This window comes from Homo sapiens, chromosome 2 (genome assembly GCF_000001405.40).
Source record: "Homo sapiens chromosome 2, GRCh38.p14 Primary Assembly".
NCBI classification, from domain to species: Eukaryota; Metazoa; Chordata; class Mammalia; order Primates; family Hominidae; genus Homo; species Homo sapiens.
In genome coordinates this window covers 43,097,042-43,122,976 of record NC_000002.12, presented here as the reverse complement: position 1 = coordinate 43,122,976, position 25,935 = coordinate 43,097,042, and the positions used below count along the sequence as shown (strand labels likewise).

Sequence of the window (25,935 nt, the reverse complement as noted above, 5' to 3'; positions counted from 1 at the left end):
ATTTTCTACTGAAGAGTGTGAGAATTCTAGGACTTGACCTTTCACGTAGCATAAACCCCATGGGCATGTGGTGAAGCCTATGGATGGACCCCTTCTCAGAATAATGTTTTCAAATGTGTAAAACAAAATTCACAGGGCTGCAGAAGAAACCAATGCTACTAAAATACATTTACCAAAGCATTAAGAAAACAGCTCTGATGTAGTAATATGTGTGCTTCTTTATTGACACTTTAATTGTGATCACTTTAAAGTGGTGATAATATAAATGATATTTGAAAAGACCTGCAACAACTCAGATGTGATTTAAAAATGCCTGTGAGTTTGGCTGGGCTGGTGACAAAGCTTGAGGTTCTGCAAATACAACTGGAGATTTTTCCTACGTCCATGTTGAAAGGAGAGGCTACCTTTCAGTTGGAGCCTAGTGAAAATAAGGAGGCATTTTTTTTTACCGTCTGAACTCATGAATGGCAGCATCATAGGAAAGGTAGAAAAGAGAAAAAAAGAATAAAACAACCCCCACATTCATGGACCCCTGAATTCTATTCCCAGACCTCTGGGTGAGAAGGGGCATCTGTGGACCCCAGGTTAACAGCATGTGCTCTTGAGGAAAACCCACAAGGGGATTAGAAAAGAGTTCAGGCAAGAGTCACTCATGCACAGAAGTGGGGTGAAATCAGACAGGAGAATGATGGGCAACCTGCAGGCATGGGCCAGTGTGTAGGGGGCTCCGTGGCTGCCCACAGGGCCCAAGAAAGACACTAAGTATGCTCCTACCTGCACTGCCTGACCCAGTGCTGCAGACCTTGGGTTAAGAATTGCTCTCCAAGGTCCTTGCTGTGTGGGCAGACCCTGTCCTTCCTGAGCAACCAGCTGTGAGTAGACACTGGGGGATCTGGGCTATTCTGGAGAGAAGGTCCTGGAGGGAAGGACTCAGGCAGAGCTGGTGACCAGGTGAGACCAGAGGCCCTGGTTCAGAGAGGTGCTGTGGGCAGCTTTGGAATGCGGGGGAGGGAGGCAGGAAGGGTGGGGGGGGGTGTATTCAAGCTAGAGCTGGGTTTTGTCTTCATGGGTAGGAGTGCCAGGATGAGATGCACGTGAGAGGAAACCATGAGGAAGATTCTGGAAATCTATGCCTTTTGCCTCCTTCCTGAACTCCCTCTCTCTCCTCTCCTTCCATCCCATCTGGAACCAGGATCCAATTTCCTCTTTTTTCAAAATACAACTCAAAACAGATTTAATCTCAGAGGATTGTTCTGTGAGGAGAACCTGTGGAAACAAGTTGTTTCTGAGGTTGTAAGATAAAAATAAAAAGCTCTGAAAAATACAAAGCTCATTCAGCACATGAAGTGACTTGAATCTCTGGCTGCCGGTCACCTGCATCCTGCCTGGACATCAGCTAGGGCCACATCTCAGGGTTGGTTTCCCTCACCTGCCCCTTCCTGTCCTAAAGTGGTCTCAGTCTATGGGGACCTTTCAGAAACGACCACCTAGAAACCCTAAATTTGGGAAGGGCCTAGCCTCCTGTGACCTGTGATAATCCTCACAGCAGAGACTAAGAATGAAGATTCCCAGGCCCCTTCCAACTGAATGAATTGGAATCTCCTAGCAGCTTCTGGAGATTCTACTGCAGCTGGTGCATGAAGTCCACCCTGGGTAGCCCCTGTCCCTGGCTGGCAGCTTTCTCAGTGAGCTCCTGGAGGTGGTCCGTGTTGGGGGCCTTTCTTTATGCAGTGTCTCAGAGAGGGGGCTTCAGGACAGAACTTTTAAGCTCTTGAAAACTGCCTCTTGATAGCCACAATCATTCTGAAGTGCAGTGAGATGGGGTGGGGTAGAGTGGGGTGGGTGTTGCCCAGTGTGTAAGACATGGGATTCTTTCGCGCCAGGTGACAGAGGGTCAGTGTTGATGCAGTAGAATGTGTTGGAGTCGACTGACAGGGGCTGTCCCAGACACTCCTCAGGTGGTGTAGCAATGATGCTCCTGACCTCCCATCACTCAAGGCCAAGGGACACAAGGGACACAGGCAGTCCCACAGAAAGGAGGGCTTTCCATTCCTCTGGAACAAACTGTGTCTGATCCACTGTGGGCAGCCTGCATTTATGGTCCTAGACACCTAAAGCCCTTCTCTATAAGCTTTAAATTCCTACCAGGCCAGCATTTCCAGAACTTTTTGAGCAACGTTACCGTACCATGGAATGTAAAAAGTCTCCTCCCACAAACACACAAAATTAGTAATTTTTTTTTTCTTTTTGAGACAGGGTCTTGCTCTGTCTCCCAGGCTGGAGTGCAGTGGCCCAATCATGGCTCACTGCAACCTTGACCTCCTAGGCTCAAGTGATCCTCCCACCTCATCCTCCTGAGTAGTTAGGACTACAGGTGCATGCCACCATGCCTGGCTAATTTTTATATTTTTTTGTAGAGACGGGGTCTCACTATGTTGCCCAGGCTGGTCTCAAACTCCTGAGCTAAAAGCAATCCTCCTGACTTGGCCTCCCAAAGTGCTGAGATTATAGGTGTGAGTTGCTGTGCTTGGCCAAAACTAGTAACATTTTTAGTTTAAAATTTATGTTGAGGCCGGGCGCAGTGGCTCACGCCTATAATCCCAGCACTTTGGGAGGTCGAGGCGGGCAGATCACGAGGTCAGGAGATCAAGACCATCCTGCCTAACACGGTGAAACCCCGTCTCTACTAAAAATACAAAAAATTAGCCGGGCGTGGTGGCAGGCCCCTGTAGTCCCAGCTACTCTGGAGGCTGAGGCAGGAGAATGGCGTGAACCCGGGAGGCAGAGCTTGCAGTGAGCCGAGATCATGCCACTGCACTCCAGCCTGGGTGACAGAGCGAGACTCCATCTCAAAAAATTATGTTAAAAAATGTATTAATATATGTATGAAAAGTATAAATATGTGACTACACTTATCATCATATGATAATCTGCCTTTACAAAATGGGACACTTTATCAGATGTCAGGAATTCATATTAGGGCTTGCTGAATGCATGAATGATGTTGAGAATTCTGTGATCTCTAACACATTTCAGAAGTGCTGTACTGGTCTGTGAGATACTTGAGGACAAGAGTCAGGAGTAGTGTCCCCTCATATCTTGGGGTGAACTGTTATATTGGTGGCTCCCAGTGAATAATATCTTTTGGCATTCATGCCCTTGTATCGTTGTCTTCCCCTCACGGGCTTGAGCATGTAACTTGCTGTGGACAATGTAACATTGATAAGCATGATGCAAGTATAGATCTAATAAGCACTTGCTTCTCCTCTTGCGGCTTGTTCTATTGGAATGCTCTCAAGGAATCTAGCCACCTAGCTGAAAAGAAGTGTGGGTAGATTCATGAATGATGAGACAGCACATGGAGACAGAGAGGCCATGTGGAGGAGCTAAGGCATCAGATATTTTAGTGCAGCCATTTTGGACTTTCTAGGCTAACTCAGTTGAATAAGTGGCACTAAGATGCCACCTGGAGCAGAAGAACCAACCAGCTGAGCCCTACCCAAATTCCTGATCCGCAAAATCATGAGAAATAATAAATCATTGCTGTTTTAAGCCACTACATTTTGGTGTGATTTGTTACACAGCAATAGATAACTGAGATACTAGTAATATGTGTGTAGTAAATGTGTATGAAATGACTGAATGGCAAATCACAATTCTAGCCCTGGTGCTAATCTCTTACATTGGTCTTGGATACTCATTAAGCCTTGATCACATCTATCTTCTGGTATGATTCCTATGATGGTTAATCTTATGTGTCAACTTGACTGGTTCATGAAGTGTCCAGATATTTGGTCAAACATTATTCTGGGTGTTTTATGAGGGTGTTTTTGAATGGGATTAACATTTAAATCTGTAGACTAAGTAAAGCAGATTGCCCTCCATGATGCAGGTGGGCCTCATCCAATCAGTTGAAAGTTTAAATAGAACAAAAGGTTGACCCTGCCCTAAATAAAAGAGAATTCTGCCTGACAAACCTAAAATTGGAACATCAGCTCTTCCTGATTCTGCAGTAGCCTGCTGGCCTTCACATGGAAACTGGGACATTGGCTCTACCGATTTTGAACTTGCCACCCTCCATAATTGCTTGAACCAATACCTCATACTCTCTCTCTCTCTCTCTCTCTCTCTCTCACACACACACACACACACACATGTTCCTTGACTTATGATGGGGATATATCTCAGTAAACCCATCGTAAGTTGAAAATATCATAAGTCAAAAATGTACTGAATACACCTAACCTACCAAACATCACAGCTTGGCCTGCCTAATGTAAATGTGCTCGGAACACTTACATTAGCCTACAGTTGGGCAAAAATCATCGGGCAATACAGTAAACTGTAGAATATCAGTTATTTAACCTCATAATTGTATGACTGACTGGGAGCTGCAGCTCACTGCTGCTGCCCAGCATCATGAGAGAATATCATACCACATACCGCTAGCCCAGGAAAAGATCCAAACTGAAAATTTGAAGAATGGTTTCTACTGAATGTGTATTGCTTTTGCACTATCATGAAGTGAAAAACATCATAATTCTGAACCATCATAAGTTGGGGACCATCTATGTATACATAGGAGATGTATATATCTCCTATAGGTTCTGTTTCTCCAGAGAACCCTGACTAATATAGATTTTGCTACCAAGAGTGGATGCTACTATAACAAATACCTAAAAATGTGGAAGTGGCTTTGGAATTAGGTAATGGGCAAAGACTGAAGAGTTTTGAGGTGCATGTTAGAAAAAGCCTAGAATGCCTTGAAGAGACTGTTGGTAGAAATACAAACATTAAACGTGATTCTGGTGAAGGCTCAGAAAGGAAAGAGTTGTAGAAAAAGTTTCTATCATCTAAGAGAATACATATATCATCATAAACAGAATGTTGGTAGAAATATGAACATTAAATGTACTTATGGTAAGGTCTCAGAAATGAGGAGCATGATGTTGGAAACTGGTAAAAAGGCAATCCTTGTTATAAAGTAGTAAAGAACTTGGCTGAATTGTGTTCAGTCAAGGTAAAACTTGGGAGTGATGACCTTGGATATTTAGCACAGGAGATTTCTAAGCAAAGTGGTGAAAGTGTAGCCTGGTTTCTCCTTACTGCTTATAATAAAATGCAAGAGGAAAGAGATAAGTTGAAGGAATTGTTATGCAAAAAGGAACCAGAATTTAAAGATTTGGAAATGCTCAGCCTGTCCATATTTCAAAAAGAGAGAAAACACGTTTCTCTGCTTGGTGCAAATACCAAAGGCCTGTCTGGACAATCACTCCATAAAAAGATTCCCACGAACTTAATCAACCATCTCAGTTGAAGCCAGGAATAGAGATGGGATTATATTAGCAGAAACACTTCCAGCTGGGACTAAAGAAAACAGAGAAAATGGAACAGAATGAAAGAAGGCTGTTGGACTTCTGGGATTCTACAGGACAGGACAATAGAGTTATCCAGCTTTGAACATACGTTATCCTTCAAGAAAAGGGAAGAATGACCCCTGAAGACAATTTGGAGATTATCAGGGCTGCCATTCACACCCCAGGCCCAGGGGCTTGGTTGTTTTTTCCTGCTTTCAGAGAGCGGGGCCACCTTCTTGGTTTCAGTGGGCCGAAATGTTGCCCAGTGCCTCAGGGGCAAGGTGACTAGCAGAGCTGCAGAATGGGATCTACCACCTAGGGTGGTGGGGGTGATGAAGCTGCCCCAGTGGGCACAGCATTCAGCCAAAGAGGATTATTCATTATTTTTTGTTTTTTTGAGACAGGGTCTCCTTCTGTCACCCAGGCTAGGATGCAGTGGTGTGATCATGGCTAACTGCAACCTTGACCTTCTGGGCTCAAGCAATCCTCCTGCCTCAGCACCCCTACCCCCGAGTAGCTGGGAATACAGGCATGCACCACCATACCTGGCTAATTTTTGTATTTTTTGTAGAGACAGAGTTTCGCCATGTTGCCCAGGATGGTCTTGGACTCCTGAGCTCAAGTAATCCTTCTGCCTTGGCCTCCCAAAGTGCTGGGACTACAGCCTAATGGATTGCAGATCTAATGGAATTTTCCTTGCTAGGTTTTGGATTTGTTTGGGATCCATTGCCCCTTTCTTCTTTCCAATTTCTCCCTTTTGGAATAAGGATGTCTATTCTATGCCTCCCCACCATCGTATTTTGGAAGCACATAAGCTTGTCTGGTTTCATAGGTTCACAGCTGGAGAGAATTTTGCCTCAGGATGAAACATACCTCAAGTCTCACCCATACCTGGTTTAGATATTCAGTGAGACTTTGGACTTGGAATTGATGTTGGAATGGGTTAAAACGTCTGGGGTTGCTGGGATGGGCTGAATGAATTTTGCATGAGAGAAGAACATGAATTTTATGGGGCCAGAGGATGGAATGTCTTGGAGTAAATTGTATCTCCCCACCAGATTCACATGTGAAAGCTCTGACTCCCAGTGTGACCCTATTTGGTGATAAGGCCTTTGAGGAAGTAATTAAGGTTAAATGAGGCTGAGTGTGGTGGCTCATGCCTGTAATCCCAGCACTTTGGGAGGCGGCAGGCAGATCACTTGAGGTCAAGGGTTCGAGACCAGCCTGGCCAACATGGCTAAACCCTGTTTCTACTAAAAATACAAAAATTAGCCGGGTGTGGTGGGGCTTGCCCATGGTCCCAGCTATTCAAGAGGCTGAGGTGGGAGAATCTCTTGAGCCCGGGAGGCAAAGGTTGCAGTGAGGTGAGATGGCGCCACTGCACTCCAGCCTGGATGACAGAGTGAGACTTCATCTCAAAAACAAACAAAACAAACAAACAAAAAAGGTTAAATGAGGTTCTCAGTGTGGGGTCCTAATCTGATAAATTGGTGTCCTTATAGAAAAGGAGGAAGCGCCACAGCCCTCCTCTCTGCATGCATGCCCCGAGGGAAGAGACTGTGAGAGGGCACAGTGAGAAGGAGCAATTCAAGGAGAGAGGCCTTATCAGAAACCAACTCTGCTGGCATTTTCTTTTTTTTTTTTTTGAGACAGAGTCTTACTCTGTCCCCGGGTTTGGAGTGCAGTGGTGTGAACTCAGCTCACTGCAACCTCTGCCTCCTGGGTTTAAGTGATTCTCCTTCCTCAGCCTCCCGAGTAGCTGGAATTACAGGTGCCCACCACACCTGGCTAATTTTTTTGTATTTTTTGGTAGAGATGGGGGTTTCACCTGTTGCCCAGGCTGGTCTTGAACTCCTAAACTCAAGTGATCCACCTGCCTCAGCCTCCCAAAGTGCTGTGATTACAGGCATGAGCCACCATATGTAGCCCCGTGCTGGCATTTTGATCTTGGACTTCCAGCCTCCAGAAGTGTGAGAAAACAAATTCCTGTTTAAGCCACTCAATCTGTGCTATTTTGTTACGGCAGCCCAAGCAGACAAATACAATTCCCCACAGCAATTTGCAGAGGAGTCATGAAGACTTAGATTTCAATTCTAGCTTTCACTGATTCATTCATTCAGCCAATATTCAAGTTCTGCTATGTGCTGGACACTGTGTCTACTGATTTCCACATCCACTGGGTTTCAATGGTGAGCAAAATGCACATGGTTCTCGTCCTGAAGGAGCTTAAAATCATGTAAGGGAGACATATTCCTCAAATAATTACTCGAAGAGACATAAAATAATAGCAGCAATGAGTGCTCTAGGAGGATGTCTCCTAGTCAAGAGGTCAGGGAAAAGTTTTTGAAGAAGTGACACCAGACCTGAGATACAAAAAGGGTGATTAGGAGTCAACCAGGTGAAGATGGGGAGGAAGGGTGTTCCATGCAGAAGAAACAGCATGTGCAAAGAATGCTTCTACCAAGGAGGAAGCTGGTGGGTGTTCAGGGGACTGGAAGAAGGCTGCCATGACTGAAACGGAGAGAGGAGGAGCAGAGTGGGAGGGGCTCGAGAAGAGGCTGGATGGCACAGGCCGGGCAGACCATGCCCAGGTCTTTGTCATAAGAGCAGTGGGAAGCCATTGAGCTGGCTTAACCTGGGAGTTGGCATGGCTAGATTTGCATTTCCAAAAAGGTGCTCGAGGCTGCCATGGGGGTGAGCGTGGTGGAGTGGAAGAAGACTAGCATGGGGACTGGCAAGGATGCTCCTGCAGGATTCAGGAGAGGCATGCGGGGGCCTTGGACTAGGGTGGTGGCAACAGACATGGAGGAAAGGGCAAGATTGGAGAATGATTTATTAAGGCAAAAAACCGGACTTTGGTGCCCAATTGTCTATAGGAGGTGAGGACAAGAGAGGAGCAGGGATGACCTGAGGTTTCTGGGTTGAGTAGCCAGGTGGGTGGTGGTGCCATCTGATTATAGAGAGATGATGGGGAAGACCAAGTTAGGGCTGGGGGCCACTACTTACCAATTGCATGAACTTGGACAGGTTACTTTTAAGCCCCTATATGCTTCAGTTTGCCCATCTGAGATAAGTGATGTGAGATGATATTTGTAGAGGATCTGCTCAGAGCAGCTGCTCCTGCATATCAAGCTTCCTGATCTTTTCCTCTGTGAAGTAGCCTGGGCAGATGCTATTGTTCCATTTTTAAGGTTGAGGAAGCTGAGTCTGCAAGATTGGAATCTTGCCCAAATCCACATACTTTGAAACCAGGCTTATAGGCAGGTGGTGGGAGGAGCCTTCCCTCCCTGCCAGTCTGCCTTCAACATCAGCTCACAGAGCCTAAGAGCAGAAATTATTCATCCATAAGTTGCTCAGCCTTCACTGGAGGTCTGGTATGGGTGGGGAGGAGGGAACATTGTTCAGGTGAGAAATGCAATTAGGGGAGGGGACAGAGCAGTGTTGGAGTGAGCAGGGTGAAATTTAATTTTAAGCACCAAATTCATGTCGTAGCCAATTTCCCAAATGTGGGCTGCTCACAAAGTTTCTTTTTTCACTCACATAAAGGCTCAGATGCTGTGATTGGCAGGCAGCCTTCCTCTGAGTGGAGATTCAGGCACCCAGGCTCCTTCCACCTTATGGCTCTGCTGTCTCTAGGCCATGAGGTCAGGCAGCGGGGGAAAGAGAGGTGGATGAGGCACATCTGCCTAACATCCTTAGGCCAGAAGCGAGACACATTGTTTCTGCTCACACTCCACTGGCCACCCTGGATAGCAAGGGAGCTGGAACTGTAGTCTAGATGGGTGCCTAGGGAGAAGGGAAAGGGAGTTTTGGTGATAAGCTTCTCAGTCCTGCTGTAACAGGTCAGAGCTGATTTCTACATCCTAAATATTACATTCTGGAGCCTGGTAAAGAGAGACATATCTTCCTGGACAGGAACTTGAACTGCTCCAGGCCAGGCTCCCAGGGTCCATCTGGGACTAGGCCTTTTGGTCAAGGTGGAGGAGAGGGGACAGAAAGGCTGTCCAGGCTCTGCTGGGATTTCTCCAGGAGGGGACAGGACCAGCCTTGGGGTAAGCAAGCTGAAGGAACCAAGCTTGATCCCATGCACTGGCTGAATGGGTGGCAGGAAGGCTCCTTCTGGGTACACTTTTGTGAGCCACAGAAATAGCCTCTGGCCAAGGCCAATGGGGAATTTGTCCTAAGTTTCTGAAGAGAGTGGGCTGTGCAGAGCCAGTGAGCAAAGCCTCTTGTATTGCACATAATTACATGTTTGTGGACTGCCAGAGAGAGGGGCATTGTTGTGAACTTTACTTGGGTGGCCTCATTGAGAAGGGATATTTGAGCAAAGACATGAAGATGCTAAAACATGAGGATACTTCAGGAAGGGCAGAGGGAACAACAGGCGCCAAGTCCCTGTAGTAGGAGCAGGGGTGCTGTGTTCTGGACCCTTTGCCTTCATCCAGGCCAGAGATGATGGTAGTAGCAGTGGGTAAGAGAGAAGAAGTGGTTAGCTTCTGCATCTATTTGGTAGGTACCTCCCTCTTTCCTCCTGTACCTTTCTTGGTTTTCTAGGAGTGACTTGTGAAGACACACTGAAGTGTTTCTACCTCTGTGCCGTTTTATAGACTGTAAGCCCCATGAGGGCAGAGAATGGGCCTTACCCTTACAGTGGGCTCAGGCACAGCTTATCCCTAGCACCTGGTTAAACATGTCTGTGTCCTGAGTCATCAGATTTCCTGGGGCTGAGCCTGGGTGTATTGCTCATGATGAGAAAAGCTTTCCTGTGGCTCGGACACTCCTGTCCCTCTTCTAAAGGAACTGTCCTGTGTATCCAATCAAAGGAGATGGGGCTTCATTGTCTTTTTTTTTTTTTTTTTTTGAGATGGAGTCTCACTCTGTCACCCAGGCTGGAGTGCAGTGGTGTGATCTCGGCTCACTGCAACCTCCGCCTCCTGGGTTCAAGGAATTCCCCTGCCTCAGCCTCCCGAGTAGCTGGGATTACAGGCACGCACCACCACATCAGGCTAATTTTTGTATTTTTAGTAGAGACGGGGTTTCATCATGTTGGCCAGGCTGGTCTCGAACTCCTGACCTCAAGTGATCCACCCACCTCAGCCTCCCAAAGTGTTGGAATTATAGGCATGAGCCACTGCGCCTGGCCAGGCTTCAGTGTCTTGAGTACCAGAGAGTCACAGTCCATCCATTCTTCCCGGCCCTGCTGTGAAGTGCTCAGGAGCTCAACAGTGGACAAGTTCCTGGGTTCTGTTTTGTCCCTGATAACGCCTGCCTGCTGGTTTCCTGGGGAAGTGACGGGGGCACATATGGCTGTGCCCAGCAGGTATCCCTGGCCCAAATCAGCTTGGCCTGTGCTCAGGCAGGGAGTGTTGGGCTCTGCATTGCTCACTCATTGATGTCAGGAGGGACCCACAGGAGTGTCTTGAGCTTGGTTGTGGAGTGTCCATCACCCACAATGTGCAGCCTTTGTTTAACCTGGGCCCTTCCCTGCAACACCTCTTGCCCTCTGACTTTTGCAGAAACTTGGGTGCAACTGATATTTACGATCCAGCAGGCTCTCGATGTTTGGGAGGGCTCTGTCCACTGGCCTTCCATAAGCCCCACAGTCTTGAATGCAAAATGTTGGTGTGGGCTTCTGGCTTTCTCTCGAATGGTGTTTTCTTGAGAGTTATATGTCTCCTGTGCTCTCATGCCACAAATTAACTGCCTTTTCACTTTTCCCACAGGTTTTATCTCTCTTTCTGTGTGGCAGGGTCTTACAGTGTAGTTGTTAAAAGTGTGTGAACTGGCCAGGCATGTAATCTCAGCACTTTGAGAGGCCATGGTGGGCAGCTTTCCTGAGGTCGGGAGTTCAAGACCAGCCTGGCCAACATGGCGAAACCCCATCTCTACTAAAAATACAAAAATTAGCCAGGTGTGGTGGTGCGCACCTGTAATCTCAGCTACTTGGGAGGCTGAGGCGGGAGAATTCCTTGAACCCAGGAGGTGGAGGTTGCAGTGAGCTGAGATTGTGCCACTGCACTCCAGCCTGGGCGACAGAGCGAGACTCCATCTCAAGAAAAAAAAAAAGTGTGTGAACTTTGGAACTGGACAGATTTGAGTGGGCATTGCGGCTTCTGCTCTTACTGGCTGTGTTATGTCTGGCAAAGTCCTCTGAGTGTCAGTTTACTCATCTGTAAAACGAAGACAATTGCAGTATCTACCTAGTAGCTTGGTTGTGAAGCCTCATTGAGGTAGTAACATAATGTCTGGACCCACAATAAATAAGAACTATTATTACACTTAATGAAAACCCTACTGGGTGTGGTGGCTCATGCCTGTAATCCCAGCAATTTGGGAGGCTGAGGAGGGCAGATTGCTTGAGCCCAGGAGTTTGAGACCAGCCTGGGCAACATGGTGAAACTCTATCTCTGCAAAAAAAAATACAAAAATTAGCCGGGCATGGTAGCATACACTTGTAGTCCCAGCTACTTGGGAGGCTGAGGTGGGAGGATTGCTTAAGCCTAGGAGGCAGAGGTTGCAATGAATGAAGATTGCTCCACTGCACTCCAGCCTGGGCAACAGAGTGAGACCCTGTCTCAAAAAAAAAAAAAAAAAAAAAAAAAGAGAACAAAAATTCCCCAAAAAAAGAAAAGAAAAAAGAAAACCCAAAGCTGCTTGTGGGGGCTTTCAGTGCTGGGCGCAGGCCAATGTCCCCAGCCAGCTCTGAGGCTTGTTCCTACTTCTACCAGCCTCTCAGCCCAGTCCACTTCAGGCCAGGGCAAAATACGAAAGCCCTGCTTGTTCTGGGTCTTCGGGGGAGTCTGTGAATAGCTGAATCCATGAATGATGCCTCTGCAGGTGCCAGGGACCCACGGCTCCACCCTCACCCAGTGCAAGTGCTGCCTGCCAGACCCTTGTCAGCGGTTACAACCTCCAACTGCCTCCCGCTGCCCGACTTTTATCAAAAGCTCAGTTGAGAGAAATAAAGTTCATGGGGGTTATTTAAAGGTCATGCATTCCATCCATTCTTCCAGATGGGACTTATCCCTGAACGAAGTCAGACTCTCACGAAGCTGAGTCGTTCTTGGAGCACAGTATTTAGTCTCCACACAATCTCTACTACGTCCCTCCCTTATGATGGAGACTTGAAGGAAATTGGCTGAAGGGGTCTGGCCATTATGTTTATTTTGGGATGTTGCTGCTTCAGCTAGTGTTCTCTGTAAGGCCTGTGAGTGGAATGAATATATTTTAGGCTCCAGTTTCCAGCAAAATTCTGCATCTTCAGAGGAATTAGGGGGCTTCTGACTTATGGGCAATGTGATTCATGAAACTAATCCCAATTCCCACTTTACTTGGGTTGCTGGGAAGCTCTGAGCCAAATTGGGCACTCATCCTTAAGAATCTTAGAGGCTCTAGTAGGCTGGGCACGGTGGCTCATGCGTATAATCTCAGCACTTTGGGAGGCCGAGGTGGGCGGATCACGAGGTCAGGAGATCGAGACCATCCTGGCTAACATGGTGAAACCCTGTCTCTACTAAAAAAATACAAAAAAATTAGCCAGGCATGGTGGCAGGTGCCTGTAGTCCCAGCTACTTGGAAGGCTGAGGCAGGAGAATGGTGTGAACCCAGGAGGCGGAGCTTGCAGTGAGCCGAGACCGTGCCACTGCACTCCAGCCTGGGCGACAGAGCGAGACTCTGTCTCAAAAAAAAAAAAGGAATCTTAGAGGTTCTCTTGGGCTGTTTTTAAAGGAGATGATTACTTTCCAGGTGCTGGTTTCTAACAGATGAGATTATAATTATTATTTTGTATGTATCTTGTCAATTGCTTCAGGGCTTTAGTGGGACCGGAGTGGGAGTAAGTAAATAAAATCATCCTCATCCTGAAAACAAAAGAGGAATGAAGAATTGGTCTGGGTGAGTGAGAGAAGGAGGAGGCAGCCAAGGGGAGAGATGGTGTAGGGCCTGGTGGTGACAGGACAAGTGTCCCTTTCTAGGCCACTGTGGTGATGCTGAAGGGTCTGGCTTCACTGACCCAGGGGGTGTGAAAAGAGGATTTTCCATGAATTTGAAAAGAGAACCGCAGTCATTGCTCAATTTGCACTTCTCCCCATGGCCCCCAGGCTTTGGGGGGTATTTTTGTAATGTTGTGAAACATTGAAACTTGCAGTGTCTCCTTTCTCTTCCTCTTCTCTCCCAACTCAGTCACTCCTACCCATTTCTTTTTTTTTTTTTTAAACCATGTTTTGCTCCTTCCCTTCATGTGGCCACTGGTGCAGGGGTTTGAGATGGGCTGCCCACTGTGACTGCTCCTCCATCTCTGGGCAAGACAGGAGTCTCTCTGGACCGAGGCCCACAATTTGCTGCTGGAACAAACAGAAGAGGGTCAAGCAGTTCAGATCCTCAACGAAAGAGTAGCAATAGAGCAGCAAATACTACTTGAAAACTCTACTGTGTGCCACTTAGGAACCATTATTATTGCCATTTAATTTTACTTATTTAAGTTTGTCCTGTGCTTCAGCTCATGGTACATGTTCATTATTTGTTTGTACAAGGCCCCTGCATCTATTTGTTTGTTTGTTTGAGACAGGGTCCTGCTCTGTCACCCAGGCTGGAGTGCAGTGGTGTGATCATAGCTCACTGCAGCCTTGAACTCCTGGGCTCAAGCTATCCTTCTACCTCAGCCTCCCATAGCTGGGACTACAGGAGCATGACACCATGCCTGGCTAATTTTTAAATATTTTTGTAGAGATGGGGTCTCACTATGTTACCCAAGCTGGTCTCTAACTCCTGAGCTCAAGTGGTCCTCCTTCCTCAGTCTCCCAAAATGCTGGAATGACAGGCATGAGCTACCACATCTGGCCCATTTGTCTGCTTATCCACTTACTTTGCCCAGAGTTTCTCATTGGCCGCACTATTGACATATCAAGTCAGATCATTCCTTTTATGCAGGCTGTCCTGTACATTGTAGGATGTTTGGCAGCATCCTTGGCCTCTCTACTACATGCCAATATTACCCACCCCCACACCTCCACTGTAACAACCAAAAATGTCTCTGGATATTGCCAAATGTCCCCTGGGGAAAGGGAGCAGAATCATCTCAGGCTGAGAACCACTATCCCCTTGTCCCCTTCCTCACTCCCCTCCTCTCCCAATAGAAGCCTCTCTGATGCATCTGCTGTGTGTCCTCCTGTTTGCACACATCCTTGCAGCTCTGTTCACTGCCCCATTCATATCCTTTGCCCACTTTTCTATTGGAGTTGCCATCTTCTTTGGATCTGCAAAGAGCAGTCCTTGTGTTTTCTTTTCTTTTCTTTTTTTGAGATGGAGTCTCACTCTGTCACCCAGGCTGGAGTGCAGTGGTGTGATCTCGGCTCATTGCAACCTCCACCCACTGGGTTCAAGCAATTCTCATGCCTCAGCCTCCTGAGTAGCTGGGATTACAGGCTCCCGCCACCACACCTGGCTAATTTATATATTTTTAGTAGAGACGGGGTTTCTCCATGTTAGTCAGGCTGGTCTTGAATTCCTGACCTCAGGTGATCCACCCACCTCGGCCTCCCAAAGTGCTTGGATTACAGGGCATGAGCCACCGTACCTGGCCAGTCCTTGTGTTTTCTAAATATGAGTCCCACATTGGTGTGGCCTGTGTTTTCTTCTCCTTTTCTGTCATCAGTCTGCTAACTCTTGCCTTACAGATGAGGAAGCAGAAGTTCACAGCCATAGCTGCCCATGCTCACACAGCTAGTAAGTGGTGAGCCAGGTCCAGGCCTCTGTCTCCAGAGCCCAGGCTCTTGACCCCTGGGCTACAGCAGTGTCCCTTCCATTCAAATATGACTTCGCAGGCAGGCAGGCAAGGTCAGGCCCTGAGGCCCGGGCAGGGAAGGGAGGTGGCTCACTCCAGGTCATGCAGCTCGACAGCAGCATCACCCAGGTCACCCTGATGTGATGCCAAGTGTCTTGGGAACTGGATTTAATGTGTTTTTTTTTTTCTTTTTTTTTTTTGGTTGAGGAATGACCAAGTGATTTCGCTTAAATGTCCAACAGGAGGCTGTGGCTCTGGTGAGAAGAAGAGGTGGGGATCTGAGGGTGTCTGTGCGAGGAGGCTCCTCTGTTGGCTCTGCATGGTGCTCACAGACACATGGTTGGGCAGATTTCTGGATCTGGATTTTCTGGCCTGGATCTCTGTGCCCTGGACCCTGGCAGAAGAGTGCTTCTCTCCCGGCCCAGGGGATGATGGATGGAGAGGAGCCAGGTTTTGTTCCCTAAATGCCATTCACATGACTCTCTGACCTCAGGGTCCTTCCCCTTTCTCTTGTCTTTTTCTCCTTCACTGCATTCTGCCCTGCTTTGGTTTCCCTTCTCTATTTTCCTTTTTTCAATCTACACAAAGCCCTTGGAGGGCTGGGGCTGACCTGGGGCCTCTTGGCTCTGGCTGAGGTTGGTTTCCAGTTCCTGGACGGTAGCCCTGGGGCTGTCTGACTTCAAGGGCCATAATGAGACTTGGGAGGTGGGAGGTTTGGGAGGAAGCAAGCCGGCCAATGAGCCAGTGCCTGGAGGCTGGTCCTCTCCTGCATCCTCAGGGCAGGACCTCTGAGCCACCAAAGCCCGAGGACAAATACCTAGTTCAGGCCACAGCCACTCCCTACCCATCCCTGACAGACATGCCTAGTTCATCCCAGATCTCTTCCTACCAGCCTCAAGATCCTTCTCAGCGGAGAATGTGGGACGGAAATGTATCACCTCTGGCTTATAGCTTCATCTTTACTTCCTGGAAGCCTTTCCCACCGTGGTTCTCAACCCTGACCGCTTAGCAGAATCACCTGGGTAACTTTCCAAACAGACTGATTTCCAGGCCCCAACCCACGATTCAGATTTCATGGGTCTGGAGTGTGGCTGGGGATTGAGATGTTGTAAAATCTCCCTGGGTGATTCTGCTATGTGGCCAGGACTGAGAGCTACTGTTTCACTGAGGCCAGAGTGTTGCAGAAAGAGCACAGAAGGCAGGTGGGGGACTGAGTTCGTGTCTGGACAACCCTCAGGTGGCAGCATGTCTCTCAGCAAAGCCCCTTCCCTCTCCAGGCACTGGGCAGGAGCACCCTAAGGAGAAGTGACAGATTTGTGGAGTTTTAGACTCAGAAAGGGCCAGGAAACCAACCAAGCTACCCCTCATCCTGCAAAACAGAAGACTGGAGGGGGTGGAGTAGTCAGGGTCTCACAGGGCACTGGCAGGGTTGGGGGTGTGGGAAGCCAGGCTAGGCTTTGGGCTGCCTCCTCCCACTGGCTGGGCCCCTCAGTGAGTCCTCTTTAGTTTAGAATGTTGGGAACATGATGTCTCCCCACTGTTTACTCGAAAAGGAGCCTGTTCTCTCAGTGCCTGGTAGTGGGGAAGCAATGGCTAGAGTTAGAGGGTATTGGTCTCAGCCAAACTTGGCAAGAGGACTTTTGCAGTGCCGCTGACTGTCTGCAGCTGTTTTATAGGCCCTGTGGCTCAAAAGGGGAAGTGTGGCTGCATTTAGAAAGTTGTCCACAAGGAGGAATGGTGGGGGTGTGGGAGTGAGGGTGGGGCTGACAAGGGTGGCCAGGCTGGGGAGCTAGAGGAGGAGGAGGAGGGACACAGGCAGGACCTGTGGACAGGGGTTTGATTTGGGGCCCACATGTTGTCACTGTGGAAACTCTTGGGTTTGAGGGGATGGAGATAGGGGAGTGTGAAAGGGAGGCAGACAGACAAGAAAGGGGGAGGTGGGGAGGGAAAAGAGCTCCCAGCTGGGAAGCCTGGCCTTTCTTAGGTTGGAAGCAAACATGAAGTGTGCTGGGAGCATGCCCAGCCATGCCCTGAAGGCCCAGGAAGGGGTTTCCTCTAAAGGGGTGCAGGGAGATGGTGAGAGGTGCTGGAAACGTGGAGGTTTTCTCAACATAGTCCAGCCCACAGAAGGGGATGTGAGAGGAGGAACTCTTCCTTCCCCCAAGCTATACAGAAATATATCTGATATCTGAGTCCATTTAGGCTACGATAACAAAATATCATGGACTGGATGGCTTATAAACAGCAGACATTTAATATCATAGACTGGATGGCTTGTAAACTGCAGACATTTGTTTCTCACAGTTCTGGAGGCTGGAAGTCCAAGATCACGGGGCCGGCAGATTCAGTGTCTGGTGAGGGCGATCTCCTCATAAATGGTGACTTCTTACTCTAACCTCACATGGCAGAAGGGGTTAGGGGTCTGTCTCAGGGCATAATATAAGGGCACTAATCCTATTCATGAGGGCTCCACCCCCAGGACCTAATCACCTCCCAAAGGCCCGACTCCTACCTTCATCACTTTAGGGGTGAAGATTTCAACATATTAATTTGGGGGGGACATAAACATCTGGACAGCCTGAATGAAATGCACCATCCCTATGGCCAGGAATGCACCCAACCCTTCCCAGGGCTGACCTGGGGCTCAGGTCTCCATGGTAGCAACAGGAAGATTGCTACACAAGGCTCCTAGCCCAGGGGTTGGAGGCTGGAAGACCTCAGAGAGCCTGACTGAAGATCCCCATGCCTCAGGCTCCTGTTCCTGTTAATGACAGGGAGATGTACCTCCCCTGCCCTATCACAAGTGCCCTGCCCCAAGCATCAGGGAGAAACATTGAGCTCCTGCTGATCGTGGGTCACACTCCCACTGCTTCCCTCAGGCCTACTGCTCTCCCTCAGTCACTGGCACCTGCAGGGTGCTGCTCTCTGCTGCCCCCCATGCCCTAGCCTTGTCCCTACTGTATATGTGGGGATAGAGTGATGGGGTGGCGGAGGTGGGGGGTGGTGGTACCATAACTTCAATCCAGAGCTTTCCTACAGAAGATCCTGCCTTCACCAGAAAAGTGCTTTAGCAAAGCTCCTCTTCCCAAAGTAGCCCCACCCAAAAGGACCATGAGAAGAAGACCTTATCCTAACTTTGATCGTATTACACTGGCCATAGAAAGCTCCACCACCTTTGGTGATAGATTCAGCAGCCAGAGAGATCTACTCTGAGGGTGGGAGTTAAAGCAAAGAGGGGAGGTTTGCATTGGTTCTGACTCTGTGGTTGAGCATCTGATGTCAGAAGCATGACTCCCAAAGAGCCTGCTCAGTGTACCCTGGGGAACAAGGTAACTCAACTCAACCCAATCCAACTCAACCCAATTCAACTCAACCCAACCCAACTCAATTCAACCCCACTCAACCCAACTCAACTAAACTCAATTAAACTCAACAAAACTCCCATTCATTCACTCCGTGATTTAACTATTATGTACTAGTCACCAACAATGTGTCAACCGCTGTGCTAAGTGCTGGGGATGCGGAAGAGAGCAAACAAGACACAGCCCTGCCCTCATGGAGCTTCGAGTCTGGTAGAGGCACTTAAGGGCATATCACGGGTCTGTGTCTCTATTAAGCTCATGAGGATGGCCGTGGGAGGGTAGGGAGAGGAAAGGCCCTTACCTCTGTGGTCTTGCTGGAGAGACTATATTCATATACACAAAACACTCAGAGAATGAGGCAAAGTTTAATAAGTCCATTGTTGACTCTGGTAACCACTAGGTGGGCCTGACCACTAACTAACCTTGAAAAAAAAAAAAAAATTGGCCAGGCATGGTGGCTCACGCTTGTAATCCCAGCACTTTGGGAGGCCAAGGCAGGCAGATCACTTGAGGTCAGGAGTTCAAGACCAGCCTGCCCAACATGGTGAAACCACGCCTCTACTAAAAATACAAAAAATTAGCCAGGTGTGGTGGCGCGCGCCTGTAATCCCAGTTACTCGTGAGGCTGAGGCAGGAGAATAGCTTGAACCCAGGAGGCAAAGGTTGCAGTGAGCCGAGGTTGTGCCACTGCTCTCCAGCCTGGGTGACAGAGTGAGACCGTGTCTTAAAAAAAAAAACACCCCAAAACAAAAACAAAAAAAATTAGTTCTGACATGAGTGTGTTGGACTGGAAAATCCATGTGGACTCTGCCGTCTTTCTTGGTTTCTTCTTCCATTTGGCTATCTACCCCCTTCCCTTCCTCCTTCCACCTCACTTAGAGCTAGAAACCTTCCATGGCAAATGATTGGATTCTAGGTTTGGTTAAATGCCTACCATTTACAAAGTACATTGCTAGCTGCAGTAGGATTCAGAGGTAAACAACACTGGCTTTCCCCTTAAGGACGCTGGGCCTGACTTGGGTTCACAAATTGCTATGACAGAAGACAGTGAAAGATGCATGCATCTTTGGACTGCATTTTACCAGTTCAAATATTTTATTTTTAATAATATGTAATAAAATATAAGGTATAACAGGGAAATGAAATGCACAGATCTTAAGCGTGCGGTTCCAAGTATTTTGAGTGTGAGTGTGACTGTGTGTTGCAGGGGGAAGGTAACAGAAGAGTTGAGTCCCTTCACTGGGTATGGCATTTGGAATATCAGTGCTATCATGTTTTGGCATGTCTGCTGCCTGCCGTTTTGTTTTTTAAATTGCCAACTTCAGAAAGTTTATAAGACTAAGGAATTCCTGTATACCCTTTCCCCAGATTCACCAATTATTTACATTTATGAAATCATTTGAGAAAAATTTAGAGAAATCTTGCCCCTTTACCCTTAAATACTTCAGTTTATATTTCAAGGACATTCTTTTACGTAGTCTGGCTTCCTCTTAGCTGAGCCTTGGGCATTTCATTTTCAGACAGTATTGGGTCATTCTATATCTTAAGTAAAGCTGATTTAATGGGAGAGAGAGCTGGATTGGTTTTCTGCTTGATGCTGTGCTGGTGGCCTGGCTGTTGGGGGCTGCCTAGGTCACAGGGTCCCCCAGGGAAAATCTGTTGACTTCCGCAGCTATGCTTGAGTCTGCTTGTTACTGGACAGCTGGTCTGTCCCCTTAGAGGCTTGGCTGAACTCTGTGCTCTCCTTCCCTCTACTTTGTTCTCGAGTTTTCTGCACATTCTTCCACCCACAGATGTGAATGTCGTGTGATGTTGGCTTTCCAGTGTCTTGCATGGCGTGGTAGCAGCAGAAATGAGCTTGGCTGGGCACCCTCTCTGGGCCTTGGAGGCAAGCCTGGGCTCCTCTGAAAATACAGGCAGCTTCCTTTCCCTGACTTGCCTGGAGGAGCCAGGCCCTGTGGTGCGGTCTGGCTCTGAGGCCTGTGGTCCTGCTTGGGACTGGCAGTCTTAGGCTGAGGGAACATTTTCCAGAGTATAGCCGAGGGACAGAATGTCTCAGTAAGACGGGCTCGGAGGGGAAGTGTTTTGGAAAGGCCTCTGCTTGCTCTGGGAGGCGTTCAGGATGCTGAGGTTTTGGAAATCTATGGCGGCTCTTCACAACTGCTCCCAGCTTTGGGAGGAGGAATAGACGGGTGCTCGTTTCCTCGGGTTCAGTGGCAAAGGTGAAGACCAGCACTGCCGACCTGGGACCTGGGCCTCTCCCGGGCCTGGGGAGGACACTGGACTTTGAAGGGGAATGCAGCCTAGAAGGCCTGGACCCTGGAGTCAGGAGATGCTGCTCCCATCCAGTAAGCCCTGGCTGGAGCTCTTCTGGGCACCAACCCTGGCATAAAACCAGTGGGGCCTCTGGGCCTGCACTCAACAGTGCCTCTGATGGAGCAGGTAGGAGAACCCCCCGCAAATCCACCAGGCAGAACAGAACACGCTGGAGGCATTTAACCAGGCAGGCACGTCTCCTGCAAGGAGAGGCCAGGGAAGGGAGAGTTCAGATGCCCCCAGCTGCCAGGGGATGCTTAGCGGAGGAAGTGAGGCCTGAGCCCCCCTTTCTAGCACCCTCTCCCTTCTTCTGTTCTGCTTTTGTATACAACCAGCATGCCGAGGGTCCAGTTCCAGCTCTGTTCTGTGATCTTGGACAAGTCCGTTTATCTCCTTGGGCCCATTTCCCGCCTGTGAAATGGGACGTGGAGCACTGGAGCCACCTTCCCGGGACAGTGCTGAGTGGTCACCAAATGTTGGTGGGCTTCAGAGGTGCTTGGAGAGCTTAGGCAGATGCCTGGGAAGTTGGGAGCCTGAATTCCCGGTGGTGAGGCCCAGGCGTGTGTAGGCATTGCTTTCAACCAGCTCTCCTGGTGGTCCTTGGAGCGGAGCTGGGTTACTGTGGAGGCACCACATCCCCCGCCCCTAACTTAACTGCAGGCTCCTTGGACCCAGACTCGGGCCTTTATTCCTGGATGCATTTTTCCCGGTGTCCGGGAGGGCCTGGTACAGGTGGGGGCACCCGGGCCTGGCCACTGGGCCGTCCACCGGCCCCTCCCACCCGGGAGTCGTGCCACAGCCCGGGCAGCCTGGACGCAACCCCCCTCCTTCCCTACGAGCCAGCTTCAATGCCCCGCATTACCATTTCCATGGCGCCCTCCTCCAGGGCCCCATGGAAATCACGAGGCTTTCTGAGGAGTCGTGCAGACTTCAGAAAAGACCCTGGGCCCCCTGCCCACCCCGGCTCCCTGGCCGCTGTAATCCCGCGCGGGGCGCGAGAGACAGAGCTCCCAGTCTCCTCGCGGCCCGGCCGGGCGCTCATTCTCCCACAGAGCTGACGTTTCTCTGCGGCCCAGCTGGCTGCAGTTTTTAGAAATAACAATATCCCCGGGGGGAGGAGCGGCGGGGTGAATGGGCGCCTTTGTCCCGGGCCCTGTGAAGCCCGATTAATTATGCGCGGCGGAGCGCGGGGAGCTCGGCCGCCGGGGCCCCCCCTGGGTGGCTGAAAGGCCCGGGCTTGGGAGCGCGGCCGCCGGCTCCGCGCCGCCGCACAAAGGGCCGCGAATTAGAGAAGCGGCAATTACCCCGCATTTTGTATGTGCCCTTGTCTCGCTGACACTGTGGACGGCCCCTCCCCGGGCGGCTGCACTTTGAGGATTTTCAGGCCCTTTCTTGGTTACCAGGGGCGACTGGGCAGAGGGCTGGGGGCTTGGGGAGAGGGGGAAGTGCCAAGGGCCGAGTGGGATCGTGTGCAGTGGGGGGCGTCCCGGGGTGGGGGGCAGGGAGCGGCGTGTGGGTATCGCCCCTGGGGACCTCGGCCTCAAGTCTAATGCTCTCTCCAAAGCCGGAGCCCTTTCAGCATGCAGATTCCAGGGCCTCACCACAGAGGACTCCCTGACTCGGGGATTCTGGGGCGCCCAGAAAACTGCATTTTACCAGTCCAAATATTTTTAATAATATATAATAAAATATAAGATATAGCGGGGAAATGAAATACACAGATTTTAGGTGTTCAATTCCATGTCACCCACATCTCATCAAGATATAGAACAATTCCATCACTCCAGAAAGTACCATGGGTCCTCTTTCCAGTTTCTCCACCCCACTGCTCATCCCCCCAGGTAACTACTGCTCTGATTTCTAGCACTATTCCTAAAGTTTCATCAGTTTTTGGACTCCATAATAAATGGAGCCATACAGTATACATTTGTTTTGTTTCTGACTGTTCTCATTTGGAATCATGTTTTTGAAATCTATTCCTGTTGTGTGTATTAATAGTTTAGTTTCTTTCTTTTGATTAAACAGTTTTTTTTGATCCATTCACCTGTTGATGGACAGACACCTGGACTGTTTCTAATTTTTGGCTGTTATAAATAAAGCTGCTATGATCATTTTGTACGAGACTTTTTTTTGTGAACACGTGTTTTTGTCTTTTGGGTAAATGTCTAGGAGTGGAATTGCTGGGTCATAGAGAAGGTATTTGGCTTTACTAGATTCTAAAGTGGCTATATGATTTTGTATCCACACCAGCAATATATGAGGGTTCCAGTTGTTCTACCTTTTCGTCAGCACTTGATATTGTCAGTCTTTGTGATTTTAGCATTCTAGTGAGTGTGAGGTGGTATCTCGCTGTAGTTTTCTGGGTGGGTGATTTTAATGCATGAGTTCCAAGGAGTACACTTGGAGAAAACTCCTGTCTAGTCCAATCCTTGCATTTGCCTGCAAGGTCCAGCAGAGGAAATGTCCTCCCTGAGGCCCACAGCTGGTTGAGCAGAGGCAGGATCAGGACACAGGACTCCCATCCCAAGCTAAAGCTCTCTTCTTGGTATCATGCTACCCCTTTGGCCCACACCTCCTGAGCCTGTGTGTATGAAGCATGGATCGTGCTCTGCCTAGGACCATTCAAAGTGGACCTGGCAGGGCACTTCTGAAGAGTCCCCACCTGCCACCCAAGCAGCAGCATCCATGGGACTCAGGTTGAGAGACTGGGCTTGGCCAGGTACATATGGTGTGTATGCGAACATAGGAACAGGGGTAGGAAGCTGCTGGCTAGCTACTCTTGACTCTAACTCCCAGGACACAGACCTGGCTTTACTGCTCTCCACCATCTTACCATACATTTGAAGAGCCAGCCTATGTGAAAGCCTAAACCCTGAGAGTTCCTCTGCTTCAGGTACTCATGGGGGGCTTTGCATATTTTCTGATCCAACACACAGGAGATGCTGGGTGGATGGGAATAAGTAAGCAGGAGTCCTGGGGCTTCCAAAGTCTTCCTTTGCCTGTAAGCATTGTCCTACATGTGCTTTTTTTTTTTTTGAGATGGAGTCTCACCCTGTCGCCCAGGCTGGAGTGCAATGGTGCGATCTCAGCTCACTGCAACCTCCGCCTCTCAGGTTAAAGCAATTCTCCTACCTCAGCCTCCTGAGTAGCTAGGATTACAGGCGCGCACCACCACACTCAGCTAATTTTTTGTGTTTTTAGTAGAGACGGGGTTTCGCCATGTTGGCCAGGCTGGTCTGGAACTCCTGACCTTGTGATCAGCCTGCCTCAGCCTCCCAAAGTGCTGGGATTACAGGCATGAGTCACCGCACCCAACCTCTACATGTGCTTTTTAAGACCCTCCAGAACCTGGCCTGACCTATCCCAGTTGCCTTGTTTCCGCCTGCCTTCACCTTGCACGTGGTGCTCCAGCAATAGTAGACACTGGTCTATTGTTGTTCCCCTACCCCCTCCCATCCCCATCAACACAGGCAGTGGGGATTGTGTTTTCCAAAGATGACTGCACCACAATATATCTCCCAACCCAAAGGCTCTTGCAGTGTGACTGACACTCCTCCCACTGAGAGGAAGGGGGTCTCTGTTTCCTCTCATCAAATTGGGATAGGGGCTTGAGACCGGTCTGACCAACAGACTATGGCAAAAGGGATGATTTTTGATGCTAAGTCATATAAAAGCTAGAACTTCCACCTAGCTCGCTCTCTCTTCTTTGGGATGTGTGCTGTAGGAATTTAAACACTGTGCTATGGAAATGCCCAAACTAGCCCACATGGAGAGACCCATGTGGAGGAGATCTGAGGCCTCCAACCTGCAACCAGGCTCAACCACTAGATTTGTGAGTGAATGAGCCTTTAGATGATTCCAAACTCCAGCCTTCAGTGTTTCCAGTGGAGGCCCCAGTCAACAGAGAGCAGAGACAAGCTCCTCCTGCTGTGCCCTGTCCGGATTCCTGACCCTGACTGGATACCAAACATAATTAAGGGGTGTTTTATGCCAATATTATGATAATTTGTTACACAGCCATAATGACTGGAACGCACACAAGATTTCTTGCATCCTCCCCATGTTAATTCATATTCCCCTTGCTCCAAGCCCAGCTCTAAGCTTAACTCTTCTCTTTCAGGTTCAGCTTGGTTGTGACCTCTGCTAGAAGCCCTCCCTGGCCTCCCTGTGCACTGAGCTGGTGGTTCCTCCTTTGCGCCCCAGGTACATGCTCAGATCTGTGTACCCTACACTTTGTCCTCCAGCTTCGTGTTTGGATGTTCACAACTCCCATGAGAAGGGCCCCCGAGAGCTGGCACAGTGCATGTGTTTCCTCTCCAGACTTCTACAAACCTGGCACATAATTGTTTGCTGAAAGATGGCATGTTCCTAAAACAGAGGAAGTAGAACCGAATAAAGCGAAATCCAACTTCCCACTCCCTGCTCTCACTTCCTCTGGGACAGGCCTTGAGCAAGAGAGACAAAAAGAACAAGAGATGATCTTTCCCTTTAATGGGATTTCAGTCTGATCAGGGAGATAGTAACAGAAAGACTAGACTAGACTAGTGTATGATTAAATGACATTTGCCATCCCCAGAAGAGGGAGAGACCTGCATGGAACAGGGTGGTCAAGGCAGGCTTCCTGGAGGAGGCAAAGACTTAGATTTAACAGTACCAGAGCTCCAGGATAGATCCTCCTCTGACTGAACTCCCTATTTCTTTCTCCCACCCCAACCTTCCCGGGTCCCCAGCTGAAGGGATACGTGTGTGTGTGTGTGTACATGTGCCTGCACACATGTACACATGTGGTTAGAAAGGGGGTATTAGTATCTCTCTCCTAGGATGGAGTCTCAAGGACAGGCCCATCATCTCCTCAGTTTGCCCCTCTCTCTCCCACTTCACCTAGGGAATGGAATAAGAATGGGATAAGTATAACACAATGAGACGAATGCAGAACCAACTAGATGTACACCCAACAATGTGGATGAACCTTAAAACAGTGCTGCCTGAAGAAGGCAAGAAACAGAATGAAATCTGCAGCACATCATTCATATAAACTAAAAATACATGCACAGAGAAAGGCCACTTTTTTTTTTTTGGAGACAAAGTTTCGCTCTTGTCACTCAGGCTGGAGTGCAAT

General features: G+C 48.9%; 1 protein-coding gene and 1 long non-coding RNA gene across 2 annotated transcripts in view, besides 2 other annotated features; both read left to right on the top strand.

Annotated features, from left to right (window-relative positions):
* Positions 16,689-16,738: a silencer, noted in NCBI's record as "silent region_11416". NCBI's record gives its function as "represses an Ori minimal core promoter by ATAC-STARR-seq in GM12878 lymphoblastoid cells {active_cell/tissue: GM12878}" and the evidence as "EXISTENCE:reporter gene assay evidence [ECO:0000049][PMID:35858748]".
* LINC02580 (long intergenic non-protein coding RNA 2580) lies at positions 20,532-25,231 on the top strand. The gene is made up of 2 exons (NR_151714.1): positions 20,532-20,942; positions 24,937-25,231. It is a non-coding gene; the product is annotated as a long intergenic non-protein coding RNA 2580 (long non-coding RNA).
* Positions 20,532-25,935, top strand: part of LOC107985876 (uncharacterized) — a 38,401-nt gene continuing 32,997 nt past the window's right edge. The window contains exons 1-2 of the mRNA XM_047446566.1: positions 20,532-20,942; positions 24,937-25,019. The gene's annotated coding sequence lies outside the window, so the exon portion shown is untranslated. The remainder of the gene's footprint in view (positions 20,943-24,936; positions 25,020-25,935) is intronic.
* Positions 21,479-22,150: an enhancer, noted in NCBI's record as "H3K27ac-H3K4me1 hESC enhancer chr2:43327965-43328636 (GRCh37/hg19 assembly coordinates)". NCBI's record gives its function as "activates a minimal SCP1, AML or CMV promoter by ChIP-STARR-seq in naive H9 embryonic stem cells {active_cell/tissue: H9 hESC(naive)}" and the evidence as "EXISTENCE:reporter gene assay evidence [ECO:0000049][PMID:30033119]".